At 50.7% G+C, this 16,886-nt stretch overlaps 1 protein-coding gene across 10 annotated transcripts, besides 2 other annotated features; it reads left to right on the plus strand.

The window, feature by feature from the left end:
• Positions 3,260-3,349: a silencer, noted in NCBI's record as "silent region_10009". NCBI's record gives its function as "represses an Ori minimal core promoter by ATAC-STARR-seq in GM12878 lymphoblastoid cells {active_cell/tissue: GM12878}" and the evidence as "EXISTENCE:reporter gene assay evidence [ECO:0000049][PMID:35858748]".
• Positions 3,650-3,709: a silencer, noted in NCBI's record as "silent region_10010". NCBI's record gives its function as "represses an Ori minimal core promoter by ATAC-STARR-seq in GM12878 lymphoblastoid cells {active_cell/tissue: GM12878}" and the evidence as "EXISTENCE:reporter gene assay evidence [ECO:0000049][PMID:35858748]".
• CCL25 (C-C motif chemokine ligand 25) lies at positions 5,288-15,597 on the plus strand. 10 transcript variants are annotated; one of them, NM_001394637.1, is made up of 7 exons: positions 5,288-5,467; positions 5,711-5,769; positions 5,947-6,069; positions 9,099-9,216; positions 9,313-9,446; positions 10,748-10,867; positions 15,165-15,597. In NM_001394637.1, the coding sequence occupies exons 3-7, from the start codon at positions 5,997-5,999 to the stop codon at positions 15,170-15,172; spliced, it is 453 nt and encodes a 150-aa protein (NP_001381566.1). In that variant the 5' UTR covers positions 5,288-5,467; positions 5,711-5,769; positions 5,947-5,996; the 3' UTR covers positions 15,173-15,597. The 10 variants fall into 10 exon arrangements, with proteins under 10 accessions (NP_001381566.1, NP_001381567.1, NP_001381565.1 ...); NM_001394638.1 differs by having other exon boundaries at positions 10,751-10,867; NM_001394636.1 differs by having other exon boundaries at positions 5,288-5,457.
• Positions 15,598-16,886: the final 1,289 nt, after the last annotated feature.

The following is a 16,886-nucleotide window of genomic DNA, read 5'->3' on the forward strand; positions in this document are numbered from 1 at the left end:
AGATATTCTTTGAAAATGAAAACCGAAAGAGATCAGGGGTAGCTGTACTTGTATCAGATAAAATATTTTTTAAGTCAAAACTCTAACATGAGAGGAAGAAGGTCATTATAGAATGAAAAAGGGGTCAGTTCATCAAGAGGATAAAACAATTATATATATATGCACCTAACATCAGAGCACCTAAATATATAAAGGAAATATATATAAAGGAAATATGAACAGATCTGAACTGCAATACAGGAATAGTACTGCACTTTCAACAATGAACACCAGCCTGGGCAACAGGCCACAAAATTAAAAATATACATTTGTGGGTTGTGGTGGTGCATATCTGTAGTCCCAGCTACTTGGGAGGCTGAGGCAGGAGGATTGCTGGAGCCCAGGAGTTCAAGGCTGCAGTGAGCCATAACAACATCACTGTACTCCAGCCTGGTGGACAAACTGAGACTCTGTCTAAAAAAAAAAAAAAAAAAAAAAAAGGCAACGAACAGATCCAGGCAGATAATCAGTAAGGAAACATTGGATTTGAAATGCACTGTAGATCAAATGGAACTAATGACATATGTAGAACATTCCATTTGACAGCAGCGGAACGCACATTCTCCTCAAGTGCACAGGGGACATACTCCAGGATAGATCATGTTAGACCACAAAGCAAGCCTGAACAAATGTAAGATTGCCAGGTGCGGTGGCTCACACTTGTAATCCCAGCACTTTGGGAGGTCAAGGCGGGTGGATGACGAGGTCAGGAGATCGAGACCAGCCTGACCAACATGGTGAAACCCCGTCTCTACTAAAAATACAAAAAATTAGCCAGGTGTGGTGGTGGCGGGCGCCTGTAGTCCCAGCTACTTGGGAGGCTGAGGCAGGAGAATGGCGTGAACCCGGGAGGTGGAGCTTGCAGTGAGCCGAGATGGTGCCACTGCACTCCAGCCTGGGCAACAGAGTGAGACTCCGTCTCAACAACAACAACAAAAAAACAAATGTAAGATTGCGATTGTATCAAGTATCTTTTCTGACCACAGTGATACGAAACTAGAGATCAATAACAGGAGGAATTCTGGAAAATTCACACGTGAGAATTCAACAACACTCTCCTAAACAACCAATGTGTCAAAGAAGAAATTAAAACGAAATTAAAAAATATCTTGAGGCCAGGTGCAGTGGCTCACGCCTGTAATCCCAACACTTTGGTGGCTGAGGCAGGAGGATCACCTGAAGCCAGGAGTTCAAGACCAGCCTGGGCAACATAGTGAGACGCTCCCCCCATCTCTACAAAAAATAAAAATAATTAGCCAGGCATGGTGATGCTCACCTGTAGTCCCAGTTATTTGGGAGGCTAAGGTGGGAGGAACACTTGAGTTGGAGGCTGCAGTGAGCTACGATTGTGCCACTGCACTCAGCCTGGGTGATAGAGGGAGATGTTTCTAAAAACAAAATAAAACAAACAGAAACAACAACAACAAAAAACTTGAGACAAACTGAAATGGACATACAATATACCTAAACCAATGAATGCAGCAAAAGTGGTTCTAAGAGGGAAGTTTATAGCAATAAATAAATGCCTACATAAAAAAGAAGAAAGATCTTTCAAATAACCAAATTCTCTTTAAAAAGAGGTAACTGGAGGCTGGGCATGGTGGCTCAAGCCTGTAATCCCAGCACTTTGGGAGGCCAAGGCCAGCAGGTCACTTGAGGTCAGGAGTTCGAGACCAGCCTGGGCAACATAGTGAAATGTAGTCTCTCCTAAAAATACAAAAATTAGCCAGACATGGTGGTAGGCGCCTGTAGTCCCAGCTACTCGGGAGGCTGAGGCAGGAGAATCGCTTCAACCCGGGAGGTGGAGGTTGCAGTAAGCCAAGATCCTGCCACTGCACTCCAGCCTGGGCAACAGAGCAAGACTCTGTCTCGAAAAAAAAAAAAAAAAGAGGCAGCTGTGGGTACAACAGGAGTCCAGGCCTGGCAGACGGGGCTCCTGGGGTGTGGATTGCTCCCTACAAGACTCGTGACCATGCAGGGCAGTGGGGGCCCATCAGAAGCCAAGAGTCTCATCAGGGACCTGGAGGCACCAGAGTTCAGGAGAGCTGCAGGCAGCTGGGGTCTGATATGCAAAAGTGACTACAGGAGGACCCCCACTTCTGCCCATAGTGTTCTCCCAGTGCCCCTGAGCCTTTGCCGATGACCTCCCAGTCATCTGCTCTATGGCGCTTCCCCATTGGGGGACTGTCCTTTTCTTCACAGTATTTAAGAAATAAAAATTAGATTTTCCTGGCCAACAAAAAAAGTAAGTAACTTGGCTTCTCTGACCCTCAATCTCCTCCTTTGCACAGTTGGGCCAATGGTGAGCACCCAGGAGCATCCTTCATCCCACTAGAGGTGCCTGCCACTGGGTAGGGCAGATGTGGTGGTGGCTGGTGCAGGCTTCCCAGAACATCTCATCGCCCCTGCCCACCACCTGGCCACTGCAACCAACTGGGCTTGTCTAGAAAGACACCTGCCTACCCACCCAACCCTGCAGGCTCTGGGGTATTGGTCTCTGAATTTGGCTGAGCTACAGGATGGAGACCACCCTCAACTGCTCCCATCATCAGAGGTGCAGAACAGAAGTCGGTGTGGGGGGCACTTGTTCCCCCCAGCTGTGCTGATTTCACACTGGCGGAGAAGAGGACCCTTGCTGATAGCGGACTGCTCTTTTATTTTTTTATGAGATGGAGTTTTGCTCTTGTTGCCCAGGCTGGAGTGCAATGGCAAGATCTTGGCTCACTGCAACTTCCACTTCCTGGGTTCAAGCAATTCTCCTGCCTCAGCCTCCCAAGTAGCTGGGATTACAGGTGCGCACCACCATGCCCGGCTATTTTTTTTTTTTTTTTGTATTTTTAGTAGAGATGGGGTTTCACCATGTTGGCCAGGCTGATCTCGAACTCCTGACCTCAGGTGATCCGCCCGCCTCGGCCTCCCAAAGTGCTGGGATTACAAGTGTGAACCACTGCTCCCGGCCGATAGCGGATTACTCTTAATGCCCCCAGCTGCTGCAGGAGTGGAAGAGGCCAGTCCAGCCCCGACTGTGAAGGTCTGGCCTTTACTCAAAGCAACTGTGGTCCTCAGAACTCCGGGATCATCCCGTTTCTTGCTCCAACCCCTGGGTCCCAGGTCCCCAGCGCGCCCACCCCAGTGCTCCGTGCTTGCTGGTCCCTGGAGGGCCCCCTTACTGGGAACCCTTCCTCCCCGTGAAGGCTGCCGGCGGGACAAACAGTGAGGGGTGAGGCAGGGAGGGAGACTCACGTTGGGGACCTCCCCCAAGTCTGGGTAACACCGTCTTGGCCGCGGCCCGCGGGTTGGGAAGGTAGGGGGCAGTGAGCCGTAGCGGAGAGGCTGGCCCCAGCCCGCCACGCCGCTTCCCCACGCTCGCAGCCACGCGGAGCCGCGTCCTGGTCCAGCCTCACCCACCCAGAGCAAGAGGCGGAGGAACTGGAACAGCGCCCCGGCCCGTGGGCTGCCACTGGCCGCAGCAACGGGACGGGTGAGAGCACCTGCCCCCGACGCGTCTTAACTGCTCTGGTGGGGCGGGGCTGACCGTGCAAGCCCCGCCCCAGTCTAAGCCCCTCCTACAAAGCCCGGCCCCTTACCATAAGCGCCATCTGTCAGGCTCCGCCCACTGTCTTAAATCCCACTCACTCTGCCCTGCCCCTGACTCGGAGCCATATAGCAAGCCCCGCCCATAGCCATAAGCCACGCCCACCCAGCCCTGCCCCTGGGCTCTAAGTGTCATTTATCTAGTCACGTCCCCGGCTAGAAGCCACACCCACCAGGCCCGGCCCCACCTCTAAGCCCCACTCACCCGGCCATGTGGTTTGGGACAGGGAAGTAGGCTAGGGGCCGCCGCCTCTGGGCTCCCAGTGGAAGGGGAGAAATGAGAAAGGAGTTTAGGATGTGATAAATACCCACAGAGGTCAGATGTAGCTATGGATGCAGGCGATAAAAAGTTTAAAGCAATCAGCTGTGCGGCCTCTGCAGCGCTCCTTTCGCCCTCCCTAATCTTCACCTCGTGTCTCCCCCAGTCCCTGTGTCCTGGCTGGGTCCTGCTGCCCCAGGGAAAGAAGACATGCCTTCTCCCATCCTGGCTAACATGGTGAAACCCCGTCTCTACTAAAAATACAAAAAATTAGCCAGGCGTGGTGGCGGGAGCCTGTAGTCCCAGCTACTCGGGAGGCTGAGGCAGGAGAATGGCGTGAACCCGGGAGACGGAGCTTGCAGTGAGCCGAGACAGCGCCACCGCACTCCAGCCTGGGCAAAAGAGCAAGACTCCGTCTCAGAAGAAAAAAAAAAAAGACATGCCTTCTCGGTGAATGTTGCTTTGCTTCCTGAGGGCATGGCTACCCGGGGCTCCTGGCTTTTCTTCCAAAAACAAAACATTTCTTCCATTTTTTCTTTTTCTTTTGTTTTTTTTTTTTTTTTTTTTTTTGAGACAGAGTTTCACTCTTGTCGCCCAGGCTGGAATGCAGTGGCCCAATCTCGGCTCACTGCAACCTCCGCCTCCCGGGTTCAAGCGATTCTCCTGCCTCAGCCTCCTGAGTAGCTGGAATTACAGGTGCCCCCCCACCACACTCGGCTAATTTTTGTAATTTTAGTAGAGATGGGGTTTTGCCATGTTGGCCAGGCTGGTCTCGAACTCCTGACCTCAGAGGATCCGCCTGCCTCGGCCTCCCAAAGTGCTGGTATTACAGGTGTGAGCCACTGTGTCCGGCCACCGTTTTTTTTTCCATTTTTTGAGACAGGGTCTTGCTCTGTTGCCCAGGCTGGAGTGCAGTGGCATGATCACAGCTCACTGCAGCCTCAACCTCCAAGGCTCAAGCAATCCTCACACCTCAGCCTCCTGAGTGGCTGGGACTACAGGTATGCACTACTACGTCAGGCTAATTTTTTAAAAAATTTTTGTAGTGACGCAGGTCTCTCTATATTGCCCGGGGTGGTCTTGAGCTCCTGGGCTCAAGCAATCCTCTGGCCTCGGCCTCCCAAAGTGTTGGGCTTACAGACATGAGCCACCATGCCTGGCCTAGAGAGTTTCTTTCTTGTTGGGGTTGTTCACCGGTGGGAGGTGCACCATTGTGCCGTGCTGACTATATTCATAGAGTTATGTAACCATCACTCTCATCTAATTTCAGAACAAAAGGAAACCCATACCCTCTCACAGTCAGTCCTTCATTCTCCCCTCCCCCCATCCTGTGGCCACCGCTAATTTACTTTCTGTTTCTATGGATTTGCCTGTGATCACAACCAGAGGATTTCTGTGACATGCTAAGTTACCTAACCATGGTGTGGAAGGAGAGGGAAATGGAGTGAAGTTGGGGACCCACCAGGGAACAGGTGGCTTGAGGGCGGGGGGAGCATGAAGGTAAGGGCTTGTTTGGGGGCTCAAGGCAGTCTGAGCCTTGTTCGCAGGCAGCCAGTGTCCACCAGGTGTGTGCAGGTGAGGGAAACAGGGGAAAAGGCCCTTTCTGGAGACAGTAGGGGTGCTGGCTGGGAGGCCTGGGATGGGGAGTGGGGAGGCAAGGGGGCCTGTGGGTCGAGGTTGGAGCTTGCTGTAGAAGAGGGAGAATTCCAGAGGCTGAGAGTGCAGGTGGAGAGGAGGAGGAAGGGAGGAGGGCGGGCAGGGGGTGGCTGGGTGGGGCTCTGTCTATAAAGAGTGAAGCTCAGCGTGTTGGTCCTGCAGATGGGACAGCTTGGCCTACAGCCCGGCGGGCATCAGCTCCCTTGACCCAGTGGATATCGGTGAGTCTTTTCCTTGAACATGACTGAGATGAACAGCTTTTCCCTCCAGCACAACTTGTTCCTACTTTATACAACCTCCTTCCCTTGCCATATGCCTGGGGCTTAAGAGGGGGGATGTTCCCAGTACCCACTCCCCTCCTCTTCCTCAGTCCTTACCACTTCCCTCCACGACCCCAGGTGGCCCCGTTATTCGTCCAGGTGCCCAGGGAGGAGGACCCGCCTGCAGCATGAACCTGTGGCTCCTGGCCTGCCTGGTGGCCGGCTTCCTGGGAGCCTGGGCCCCCGCTGTCCACACCCAAGGTACTGTGTTCGGCAATGCCTACCACCAAGTGCCCCTCTCCCCATGCCCCCACCCCACCCCTTTTGTCTCTTATCTCCTCCGGAAGTCTCCCCAATCCCATCTCCACTGAATTCTCCCGCTCCTGACATGCAGGAACTCCTGGTGTTTGGTTAGCTCTTGGGATGGGGTCGGGGAGATGGAGAGTCCCCAGTTCCTTCTTCGAGAGCCCCATGGAGTCTTTTGCAAGACTCCTAAAGATGTGAGGGAGCAGAGGGTGGCTTCCAGCTGTGGGCAAAGCCAGTTACTGCCAGGGATGTATTGTAGAATCCTAATCCTGCCGAGCCAGGGGTGGGGTTGGAGATCAGGGCCCTGGAGACTGACAAGAGTGGATTCCCATCCTGGTCCCTCCATGCAGTCCAGCTGAGAGTTAGTTGCTCCTAAACCATTTTTTTTTTTTTTTTTTTGAGACAGAGTCTCACTCTGTCACCCTGGCTGGAGTGCAGTGGCGCGATCTTGGCTCACTGCAACCTCCGCCTCCTGGGCTCAAGCGATCCTTCTGCCTCAGCCTCCCAAGTAGCTGGGACTACAGGCGTGTGTACCATGCCCGGCTAATTTTTGTATTTTTTAGTAGAGATGGGGTTTCACTATGTTGGCCAGAGTAGTCTCGATCTCCTGATCTCAGGCGATCCGCCTGCCTCAGCCTCCCAAAGTGCTAGGATTACAGGTTTGAGCCACTGTGCCCGGCTTCCTAAACCTTTAGGAGCCTCCGTTTCCTCAGCTGCAAAGTGGGAATCTAAAATTCCCACTGCATGGCTCTGACTTGAGGGTCCAGTGAGCTCATGCCTGCAAAAGACTAGGCCTCATGTCTGGCGGCGGCAATAGTAACTGTTCCTGTTATTAATAGGGAACTCTTTCCTTCTTCCCCACTCCCTACCGCAGAGCAAGCACTTGAGGATTTCAGTCGCCAAAGGACAATTCCTGGGCCTGGGGTGTCCCCACGGGAGCCCTGACACTGGGTCCTACATCCTCTGAGTTTCAGCAGCTGGCCAAAGCAGGGTCCCTGGCTGGGCGGCAGACCCAGGGTCCCACCCTCCTTCCCTGTCTGCCCCCACCTGACCCACCTGCCCCTCGGCTGGGTCTGATGGGTCCAAGTCCTTGGCCTTTGCCTGGGAAGGGGGTTGGGCTGTGGTCTGATTGTTTTGCTATCAGAGCCAGGCCCAGCCCAGCCCTTCGATCCTGGCCTCCAGCCTTGGGAACTACCTGCCTGGCACTGCAGTCCGAGGTTCCAACAGAATGCGCTGCCCCTTGCCCTCAGAGGCCGCGGTTGGGAGACACCTGGAGGGCTCGAGTCCTCCCTTTCCCTGCTCCTGCTGGGCTGGGCTCTGCAGGGACTCAGACTCGGCCTCTGGAGGTTAGTTCTGGCAGAGGTGAGATTGCAGAGAACTCCAAAGGCCATTTAGGCAGAGAATTGCACCCCAGCTTCCTCCACTATCTCATCAGCTCATCCTCGGCTCATTCATTCCACCTGCTCATCCCCCCAGAACTTTCTGGCATCACCTCCTCCTCCTCTGGGCACCCCCCACAGTGCCTGTGCTTCCCCCTTTCTGCAGAGATCAGTTTCCCGGGAGCTCCCTGAAGACAACACTAGGTCTAATTCATCTGTGTGTTTCATCTCTGCTTGTCTAGACATTGACATTTACTGAGAGCTCTTTACTTTGTATTAAAACAATTTTTTGTTTGTTTGGTTGGTGTTTTGTTTTGTTTCATTGAGACAGAGTTTTGCTATTGTCGCCCAGGCTGGAGTGCAATGGCGTGATCTCGGCTCACTGCAACCTCCACCTCCTGGGTTCAAGTGATTCTCCTGCCTCAGCCTCCAGAGTAGCTGGGATTAAAAGCGCCCACTATCAGCCAGGCACAGTGGCTCACGCCTGTAATCCCAGCACTTTGAGAGGCCAAGGCGGGTGGATCACAAGGTCAAGAGATCAAGACCATCCTGGCCAACATGGTGAAACCCCGTCTCTACTAAAAATACAAAAATTAGCTGGTCGTGGTGGCGGGCGCCTGTAATCCCAGCTACTCGGGAGGCTGAGGCAGGAGAATCGCTTGAACCCGGGAGGCAGAGGTTGCAGTGAGCTGAAATTGAGCCACTGCACTCCAGCCTGGGTGACAGAGTGAGACTCTGGAAAAAAAAAAAAAAAAGGCGCCCACCACCATGCCTGGCTAATTTTTGTTTTTTGTTTTGTTTTGTTTTGAGACGGTGTCTCACTCTGTCGCCCAGGCTGGAGTGCAGTGGCGCGATCTCGGCTCACTGCAAGCTCTGCCTCCCGGGTTCACGCCATTCTCCTGCCTCAGCCTCCCGAGTAGCTGGGACTCCAGGCGCCCACCACCACACCCGGCTAATTTTTATATTTTTAGTAGAGACGGGGTTTCACCGTGTTAGCCAGGATGGTCTCAATCTCCTGACCTCGTGATCCGCCCACCTTGGCCTCCCAAAGTGCTGGGATTAAAGGCATGAGCCACCGCGCCCGGCCTAATTTTTATATTTTTTAGTAGAGACGGGGTTTCACCATATTGGCCAGGCTAGTCTCAAACTCCTGACCTCAGGTGATCCACCCACCTCAGCCTCCCAAAGTGCTGGGTTTACAGGCATGAGCCACTGTGCTGAGCTGCCAATCAGCTCATTTTTAGGAGGGAAGAACTTGGCTGGGGAGGGGTGGTGTTGGCCCCTCCTCACAGTGCACCTGCACTCCGAGTCACCCTTTTCCCCAGAGCAGGAGTAGAGGTGGCCTTGGTCCGTTCATTTGCTGGTTCCACACCCTTCCCAGCCGGGACCCAAGGGTCCTCTCCAACCTCTGGCTGTCCCAATATCCAGGGATAAGGGGTGAGCCAGGAGGCTTTTTCTTTCCTAAGGCTGTTCCTCAGCCTCTGCCGGGCCTGGAAGGGTTGTGGTATGAGCAGACAGGTATGCAGACAGGTGCCCTTGCCTGTGGCTGGCCCTGCCAAGTTAACATGCAAGGGTGCGAGTATCTGGGCGGCTGTGTGGTTGCAGGTGTCTTTGAGGACTGCTGCCTGGCCTACCACTACCCCATTGGGTGGGCTGTGCTCCGGCGCGCCTGGACTTACCGGATCCAGGAGGTGAGCGGGAGCTGCAATCTGCCTGCTGCGATGTGAGTGGGGCCGTGGGGGCTGGGGGGGTGGGGTGCACACACAGCCTTGCTGCCAGCCTACACCCTAACCTGGGCACCCCCCTCTGCTCACCACAGATTCTACCTCCCCAAGAGACACAGGAAGGTGTGTGGGAACCCCAAAAGCAGGGAGGTGCAGAGAGCCATGAAGCTCCTGGATGCTCGAAATAAGGTTTTTGCAAAGCTCCACCACAACACGCAGACCTTCCAAGGTGGGCAAGACCTCTGCTGGGCATCTAGGGGGCCTGCCCTCCCTGCCTGCAAGCCCATGTGTGGTTCAGACCCCGAGGGAGGGAATTGGAGACCAGAATACTGACACCTGCCTGAACCCCAAACAAAGCCAGTTGCTGGTGAGTGGGGCACCAAGTGAATGACCAACTGATTGAGTCATTGTCCAGTTTTTGTTTCTGGAGATGGGGTCTTGCTCTGTTGCCCAGGCTGGAGTGCAGTAGCATGATCATAGCTCACTGCGGCCTCAAACTTGTGGGTTCAAGCAATCCTCCCACTTCAGATTCCCCAAGTAGCTGGGATTACAAGTGTGTGCCACCAGTCCAGCTCTTTTATTATTATTTTGAGACAGAGTCTTACTGTGTCACCCACGCTGGAGTGCAATGGCGCCATCACAGCTCACTGAAGCCTTGACCTCCCAGGCTCAAGCAATCCTCCTACCTCAGCCTCCTGAGTAGCTGGGACTACAGGCATGCTCCACTAATCCAGCTCATTGTTATTTTATTTTTTATTTTTATTTTTTGAGATGGAGTCTTGCTGTGTCATCCAGGCTGGAGTGCAGTGGCACGATCTCGGCTCACTGCAACCTCTGCCTCCTGAATTCAAGCGATTCTCCCGCCTCAGCCCCCTAAGTAGCAGGAGCACAGGCCCACGCCACCACGCCTGGCTAATTTTTGTATTTTTAGTAGAGACGGGGTTTCACCATGTTGGCCAGGCTGGTCTCGAACTCCTGACCTCAGATGATCTGCCCGCCTTGGCCTCCCAAAGCACTGGGATTATAGGCATGAACCACCATGCCTGGCTCCAGCTCATTATTATTATTATTATTTTGAGACAGGGTTTTACTCTTGTCACCCAGGCTGGAGTGCAGTGGCACAATCACATCTCACTGCAGCCTTGTGTTCCTGGGCTCAAGCAATCCTCCCACGTCAGCCTCCCAAGTAGCTGGGATTACAGGCACACACCACCATGCCTGGGTAATTTTTTATTTTCATTTTGCAGAGACAGGTTGTGCCATGTTGCCCAGGCTGGACTTGAACCCCTGGACTCAAGCAATCCACCTGCCTTGGCCTCCCAAAGTGCTGGGACTACAGGCATGAGCCACTGCACCCAGCCAGTCCAGCTCTTTTAATCAGGACACTTTCCACTGGTACAGATGGAAAGCTCAAGCACATGGGAGACTCATTGGCTTAAATAACCAGTCAACAGCTTCAGGCTCAGCTGGATCCAGGAGCTCAAAGGATGATGGCAGAGCTCTTGCTTATTTCTCTCTCCATTTCTCCAGCAGGCCCTCATGCTGTAAAGAAGTTGAGTTCTGGAAACTCCAAGTTATCATCGTCCAAGTTTAGCAATCCCATCAGCAGCAGTAAGAGGAATGTCTCCCTCCTGATATCAGCTAATTCAGGTAAGGACTCTTGGTCATGTGACTGTCTCCCATCCATCACCTTTGCTGAGGGTTGAGGGCTCGTGATTGGCTCACACTGGGACAGGAGATTCACCTCCAGGACCCAGGAGAGGTGGTTGTGCGGTCAGTGCCGCAGATTCACAGGGGAGGGTCCTCGGTGGCTGTCCACTGCTGTGACTCAGCGCAAAGACACCACAGCAAGTGAGAAAGTAAAGCCCCAGGGGAGTGGCCCAAGAGCTCCAGGGCCCCCCAAAGCCAGCAATTCTCCAGCAGGGACCGGGTGGTTGTCCTGTAATTCTACTGAATTCTGACATTGTGTGTGTGTGTCTCTCTCTATATATACATATAAAATATATATAAGTAAATATATAATATATAAACATATATAATATATAAGTAAATATATAATATATAAATATATATAATATATATAAGTAAATATATAATATATAAATATATATAATATATAAGTAAATATATAATATATAAATATATATAATATATAAGTAAATATATAATATATAAATATATATAATATATATAAGTAAATATATAATATATAAATATATAATATATATAAGTAAATATATTATATATAATATATAAATAATATATAATATATAAATACATATAATATATAAAAATAATATATAATATATAAATATATAATATATAAATAATATATAATATAAAGTATATATAATGTATAAATAATATATAATATATAAATATATATATTTATTATTATTTTTTTTTGAGATGGAGTCTCACTCTGTTGCCCAGGCTGGAGTGCAGTGGCGCGATCTTGGCTCACTGCAAGCTCCACCTTCCGGGTTCACGCCATTCTCCTGCCTCAGCCTCCCGAGTAGCTGGGACTACAGGCGCCCGCCACCACGCTGGGCTAATTTTTTGTATTTTTAGTAGAGACGGGGTTTCACCATGTTAGCCAGGATGGTCTCGATCTCCTGACTTCGTGACCCACCCGCCTTGGCCTCCCAAAGTGCTAAGATTACAGGCGTGAGCCACCGCGCCCAGCCTAAATATATAAATATATAATATAAATATATAAATATATAATATAAATATATAAATATATAATATAAATATATGTAATATATAAACATATATGTAATATATAAATATATATAATATATAATATATATAATATATATAATGTATATATTTATATATAATATATAAATATATATAAATATATATTATATAATATATAATATATATAATATATAATATATATAATATATAAATATATATATTATATATAATTAATATTTTTTTATGGCAGGGTCTCACTCTGTTGCTGAGGCTGGAGTGCAGTGGTGCCATCTCGGCTCACTGCAACCTCCGCCTCCAGGGTTCAGGCGATTCTTGTGCCTCAGCCACCCAAGTAGCTGGGATTACAGGCATGCATCACCACGTCTGGCTAATTTTCATATATTTATTAGAGATGGGGTTTCGTCATGTTGCTTAGGCTGGTCTCTAACTTCTGGCCTCAAGCAATTCTCCCACCTCGGCCCCCCAAAGTGCTGGGATTGCAGGCATGAGCCACTGTGTCCAGCTGACATTGTCTATCTGGAGGTAGTGACACAATCCACAGGTTAAGGACTCAGTCCCACAAGACTGCCCCCATTTCAGATGCTGGTTGCAAGTAGCAAGTTGTCACTTTATTTCTGACTGATTGTCTGTAAGTCAGGGCTTCCACCTCTGGTTGGATCATTCGATAGAACAGCTCACAGGACTCATGGAAGCGCTCTACTTGTGTTTACCATTTTATTGTAAAAGATTACAAAGGGGCTGGGCATGGTGGCTCACGCCTGTAATCCTAGCACTTTGAGAGGCTGAGGCAGAAGGATCAATTGAGCCCAGGATGGCCGGGCGCGGTGGCTCATGCCTGTAATCCCAGCACTTTGGGAGGCGGAGGTGGGTGGATCACGAGGTCAGGAGATCGAGACCATCCAGGCTAACATGGTGAAACCCCAACTCTACTAAAAATACAAAAAATTAGCCGGGCGTGGTGGCAGGCATCTGTAGTCCCAGTTACTCTGGAGGCTGAGGCAGGAGAATGGCATGAACCTGGGAGGCGGGCCTTGAAGTAAGCCGAGATCAAGCCACTGCACTCCAGCCTGGGCAAAAGAGCGAGACTCTGTCTCTAAATAAATAAATAAATAATAAAAAAATTGAGCCCAGGAGTTTGAGACCAGCCTGGGAAACATAGCGGGACCCTGTCTCAAGAAAAAAAAAAACAAATTTAAATTAGCTAGTTGTGGTGGCATGCACCTGTAGTTTCAGCTGCTTGGGAGGCTGAGGTGAGAGGATTACTTGAGCCCAGGAGGTAGAGGTTGCAGTGAGCTATGATCATACCATTGGAACTTCAGCCTGGGGGACAAAATGAGACCCTGTCTCGAAAAAAGAATAAAAAGATATTACAAAGGATAGGGATGAATAAGCCAGATGGAAGAGATGCTTAGGTAGGCAAAGACTGGAAGGGACTCAAGTGTAGAAGCTTCTGTTCCCGTGGAGTTGCAGTACACCACCCCTCCCACACACGGATATGGTCACAAGACCCTGAACCCCATAGTTCAGGCTTTCTTTTTTTCAGAGATGAGGTCTCACTCTCTCCGCCAGGCTGGAGTGCAGTGGCGCAATTGTAGCTCACTGCCTAATTGAGCAGCTAGGACTACATAGCTCACCGCCTCAGCCTCCCGAGTAGCTGGGACTGCAGGCCAGTACCCTCAGCTTACCAGGGATTTTTTTTTTTTTGAGATGGAGTCTTGCTCTGTCACCCAGGCTGGAGTGCAGTGGCATGATCTCGGCTCACTGCAAGCTCTGCCTCCCGGGTTCACGCCATTCTCCTGGCTCAGCCTCTGGAGTAGCTGGGACTACAGGCGCCCGCCACCACGCCTGGCTAATTTTTTGTATTTTTAGTAGAGACGGGGTTTCACTGTGTTAGCCAGGATGGTCTCGATCTCCTGACTTCATGATCCACCAGCCTCAGCCTCCCAAAGTGCTGGGATTACAGGTGTGAGCCACCATGCCCGGCCTAATTTTTTTTTTTTTTTTTTTTTGAGACAGAGTCTCACTCTGTCACCCAGGTTGGAGTGCATGGTGCAATCATAGCTCACTGCAACCTCTGCCTCCAGGGTGGGTTCAGGTGATTCTCCTATCTCAGCCTCCTGAGTAGCTGGGATCATAGGCATGCACCACCACTGCCGACTAATTTTTGTATTTTTAGTAGAGATGGGGTTTTGCCATGTTGGGCAGGCTGGTCTTGAACTCCTGACCTCAAGTGATCTGCCCACCTCAACTGTCCAAAGTGCTGGGATTACAGGCGTGAGCCACCACGCCTGGCCTTCACCAGCAATTTTTTTGTTTATTTGTTTTTATTTTTAGTAGAGACGGCGTTTCACTATGTTGGCCAGGCTGGTCTCAAACTCCTGACCTTGTGATCCACCTGCCTTGGCCTCCCAAAGTTCTGGGATGACAGGCGTGAGCCACCATGCCCAGCCAACCAGGGAATTTTTTAGAAGCTTCATCACATAGGAGTGAAGGATGATTAACTCCATTGCCAACCTTCTTCCCCTTCCTGGAGAATGGGACCAAAAGCTCCAAGTTTCTAATCAATGGCTTGGTCTTGCTGGTGACCAGCCCCCACCCAGAAGCCAACCAAGAGTCACCTCATTAGAATAAAATATGTCCCCATTACCCAGGACACTCCAAGGGATCCAGAGCTCTGTGTCAGAAACAGAATTCAAAGACCAAATATTAGCACAAAAGGCCAGGTGCGGTGGCTCACACCTGTAATCCCAGCACTTTGGGAGGCCGAGGTGGGCAGATCACAAGGTCAAGAGATCAAGACCATCCTGGCTAACACGGTGAAACCCTGTCTCTAAAATACAAAATTAGCTACTAAAAATACAAAATACAAAAATACTAAAAATACAAAAATACAAAAAATACAAAAATTAGCCGGGCATGGTGGTACTCGCCTGTAGTTGCAGCTACTAGGGAGGCTGAGGCAGGAGAATCGCTTGAGTCCTGGAGGCGGAGGTTGCATTGAGCCGAGATTGCGCCACTGCACTCCAGTCTGGCGACAGAGCGAGACTGTCTCAAAAAAAAAAAAAAAAAAAAAAGTTAGCATAAAAGATTCTAGCACTCCTATTACTCAGAAATTCACAAGGGTTTTAGGAGCTGTAGGGACTGGAGGTAGAGACAAATGCATATAGTTACTATTATTTTACAGCCGTCAATTTTACTTCGGCCTCTCTCATTGCTTCTGCAGGACTGTGAGCCGGCTCATTTCTGGGCTCCATCGGCACAGGAGGGGCCGGATCTTTCTCCGATAAAACCGTCGCCCTACAGACCCAGCTGTCCCCACGCCTCTGTCTTTTGGGTCAAGTCTTAATCCCTGCACCTGAGTTGGTCCTCCCTCTGCACCCCCACCACCTCCTGCCCGTCTGGCAACTGGAAAGAGGGAGTTGGCCTGATTTTAAGCCTTTTGCCGCTCCGGGGACCAGCAGCAATCCTGGGCAGCCAGTGGCTCTTGTAGAGAAGACTTAGGATACCTCTCTCACTTTCTGTTTCTTGCCGTCCACCCCGGGCCATGCCAGTGTGTCCCTCTGGGTCCCTCCAAAACTCTGGTCAGTTCAAGGATGCCCCTCCCAGGCTATGCTTTTCTATAACTTTTAAATAAACCTTGGGGGGTGATGGAGTCATTCCTGCCTGTTACATTTCTTTTTTCTTTTTTTTTCTTGCCTGTTACATTTCATGATGAGGTGCAAGTTGCTGCTGCCCTGCCCTGGGGTGAAGCCAATGCGATCTTTGCCACCCCAAGCTCTCCTAACAGACGGCTCTCCAGGGGCCAAGCATTGGTCACTGGTTGCAGAATGCACTTCCCAGCTGGTGACCTTAAACCAATTGCTGACTCTCTGGGTACCTCTCAGCTTGTCTGTAGAATAAGAGTCACTGTGCTTGCTCTACTTAGATTCCAGGGCTGTGGTGAGTCCAGCCGATGGACACAGAAGCCCTCTGCAAGCTCTTATAGGCTGCCTGGAGGCCACTGGTAAGCCAGGACCAGACCAGGGACAGAGCTCTGGTACCAGGCGCTAGTGACAATTCTGCAGGTGGAGGCCTGAGTCACCACCCGATGATGCTGTCTTCAGTCCTTGGCAACCTCAGTTTCCATCACAACAGAGAATGATCTGGATGAAAACCAATGCACATTGGGCCGGGCACCGTGGCTCACTCTGTCATCCCAGCACTTTGGGAGACCAAGGCGGGTGGATCACCTGAAGTCAGGAGTTCAAGGCCAGCCTGGTCAATATGGTGAAACCCCATCTCTACTAAAAATGCAAAAATTAGTCGGGCGTGGTGGCAGGCACCTGTCATCCCAGCTACTCGGGAGGCTGAGGCAGGAGAATTGTTTGAACCCGGGAAGCAGAGGTTGCAGTGAGCCGAGATCACGCCACTGCACTCCAGCCTGGGTGACAGAGTGAGAGTTTGTCTCAAAAAAAAGAAAGAAAGAAAGAAAGAAAACCAAGCACATCATCTCTTAGGGGACACCCTGGTGGTTTGGGATCAGGGACCGGGATGAAGTTGCAGAAGAAACGGAGTCACGTTCAGTGTTCGGGCTCTACCGCGCACTATGTGGGTGACCCGGACAGGTTCCACAAGCTCTCTAAGCCTCAATTTTGCCCCCCTGGAAAATGGGGGTGATAATACTGCCTGCCTCATAGCGCTTTGTTGGAGACCAAAGACACTGTGATGTGTGACACGCACAGCACACAGTACATGCTAACTGTGTGTTTATTAACACAATGAGTACCCTGGCCATCGAATTGGAGTCCGCCTGGAACCATGCATGGTGGTGTGGGGGCTGATGGCCTGGGAACATGCCCACCTTTTTTTTTTTTTTTTTTTGAGAGAGTCTTGCTGTGTCGCCCAGGCTGGAGTGCAATGGCACGATCTCCGCTCACTGCAACCTCCGCTTCCCGGGTTCAAGTGA

Source organism: Homo sapiens, chromosome 19 (assembly GCF_000001405.40).
Source record: "Homo sapiens chromosome 19, GRCh38.p14 Primary Assembly".
In the NCBI taxonomy this organism is placed as follows: domain Eukaryota; kingdom Metazoa; phylum Chordata; class Mammalia; order Primates; family Hominidae; genus Homo; species Homo sapiens.

What these genes read in the sequence shown, in the direction of transcription:
- CCL25 (XM_047439203.1), top strand. Translation starts at nt 5,387, where the DNA reads ATGAAGGTAAGGGCTTGTTTGGGGGCTCAAGGCAGTCTGAGCCTTGTT. An exon ending in AGGCAGCCAGTGTCCACCAG is followed by an intron (nt 5,458 to 5,710) that starts GTGTGTGCAGGT and finishes TTGGTCCTGCAG; the next exon opens with ATGGGACAGCTTGGCCTACA. An exon ending in CCCCGCTGTCCACACCCAAG is followed by an intron (nt 6,070 to 9,098) that starts GTACTGTGTTCG and finishes GTGTGGTTGCAG; the next exon opens with GTGTCTTTGAGGACTGCTGC.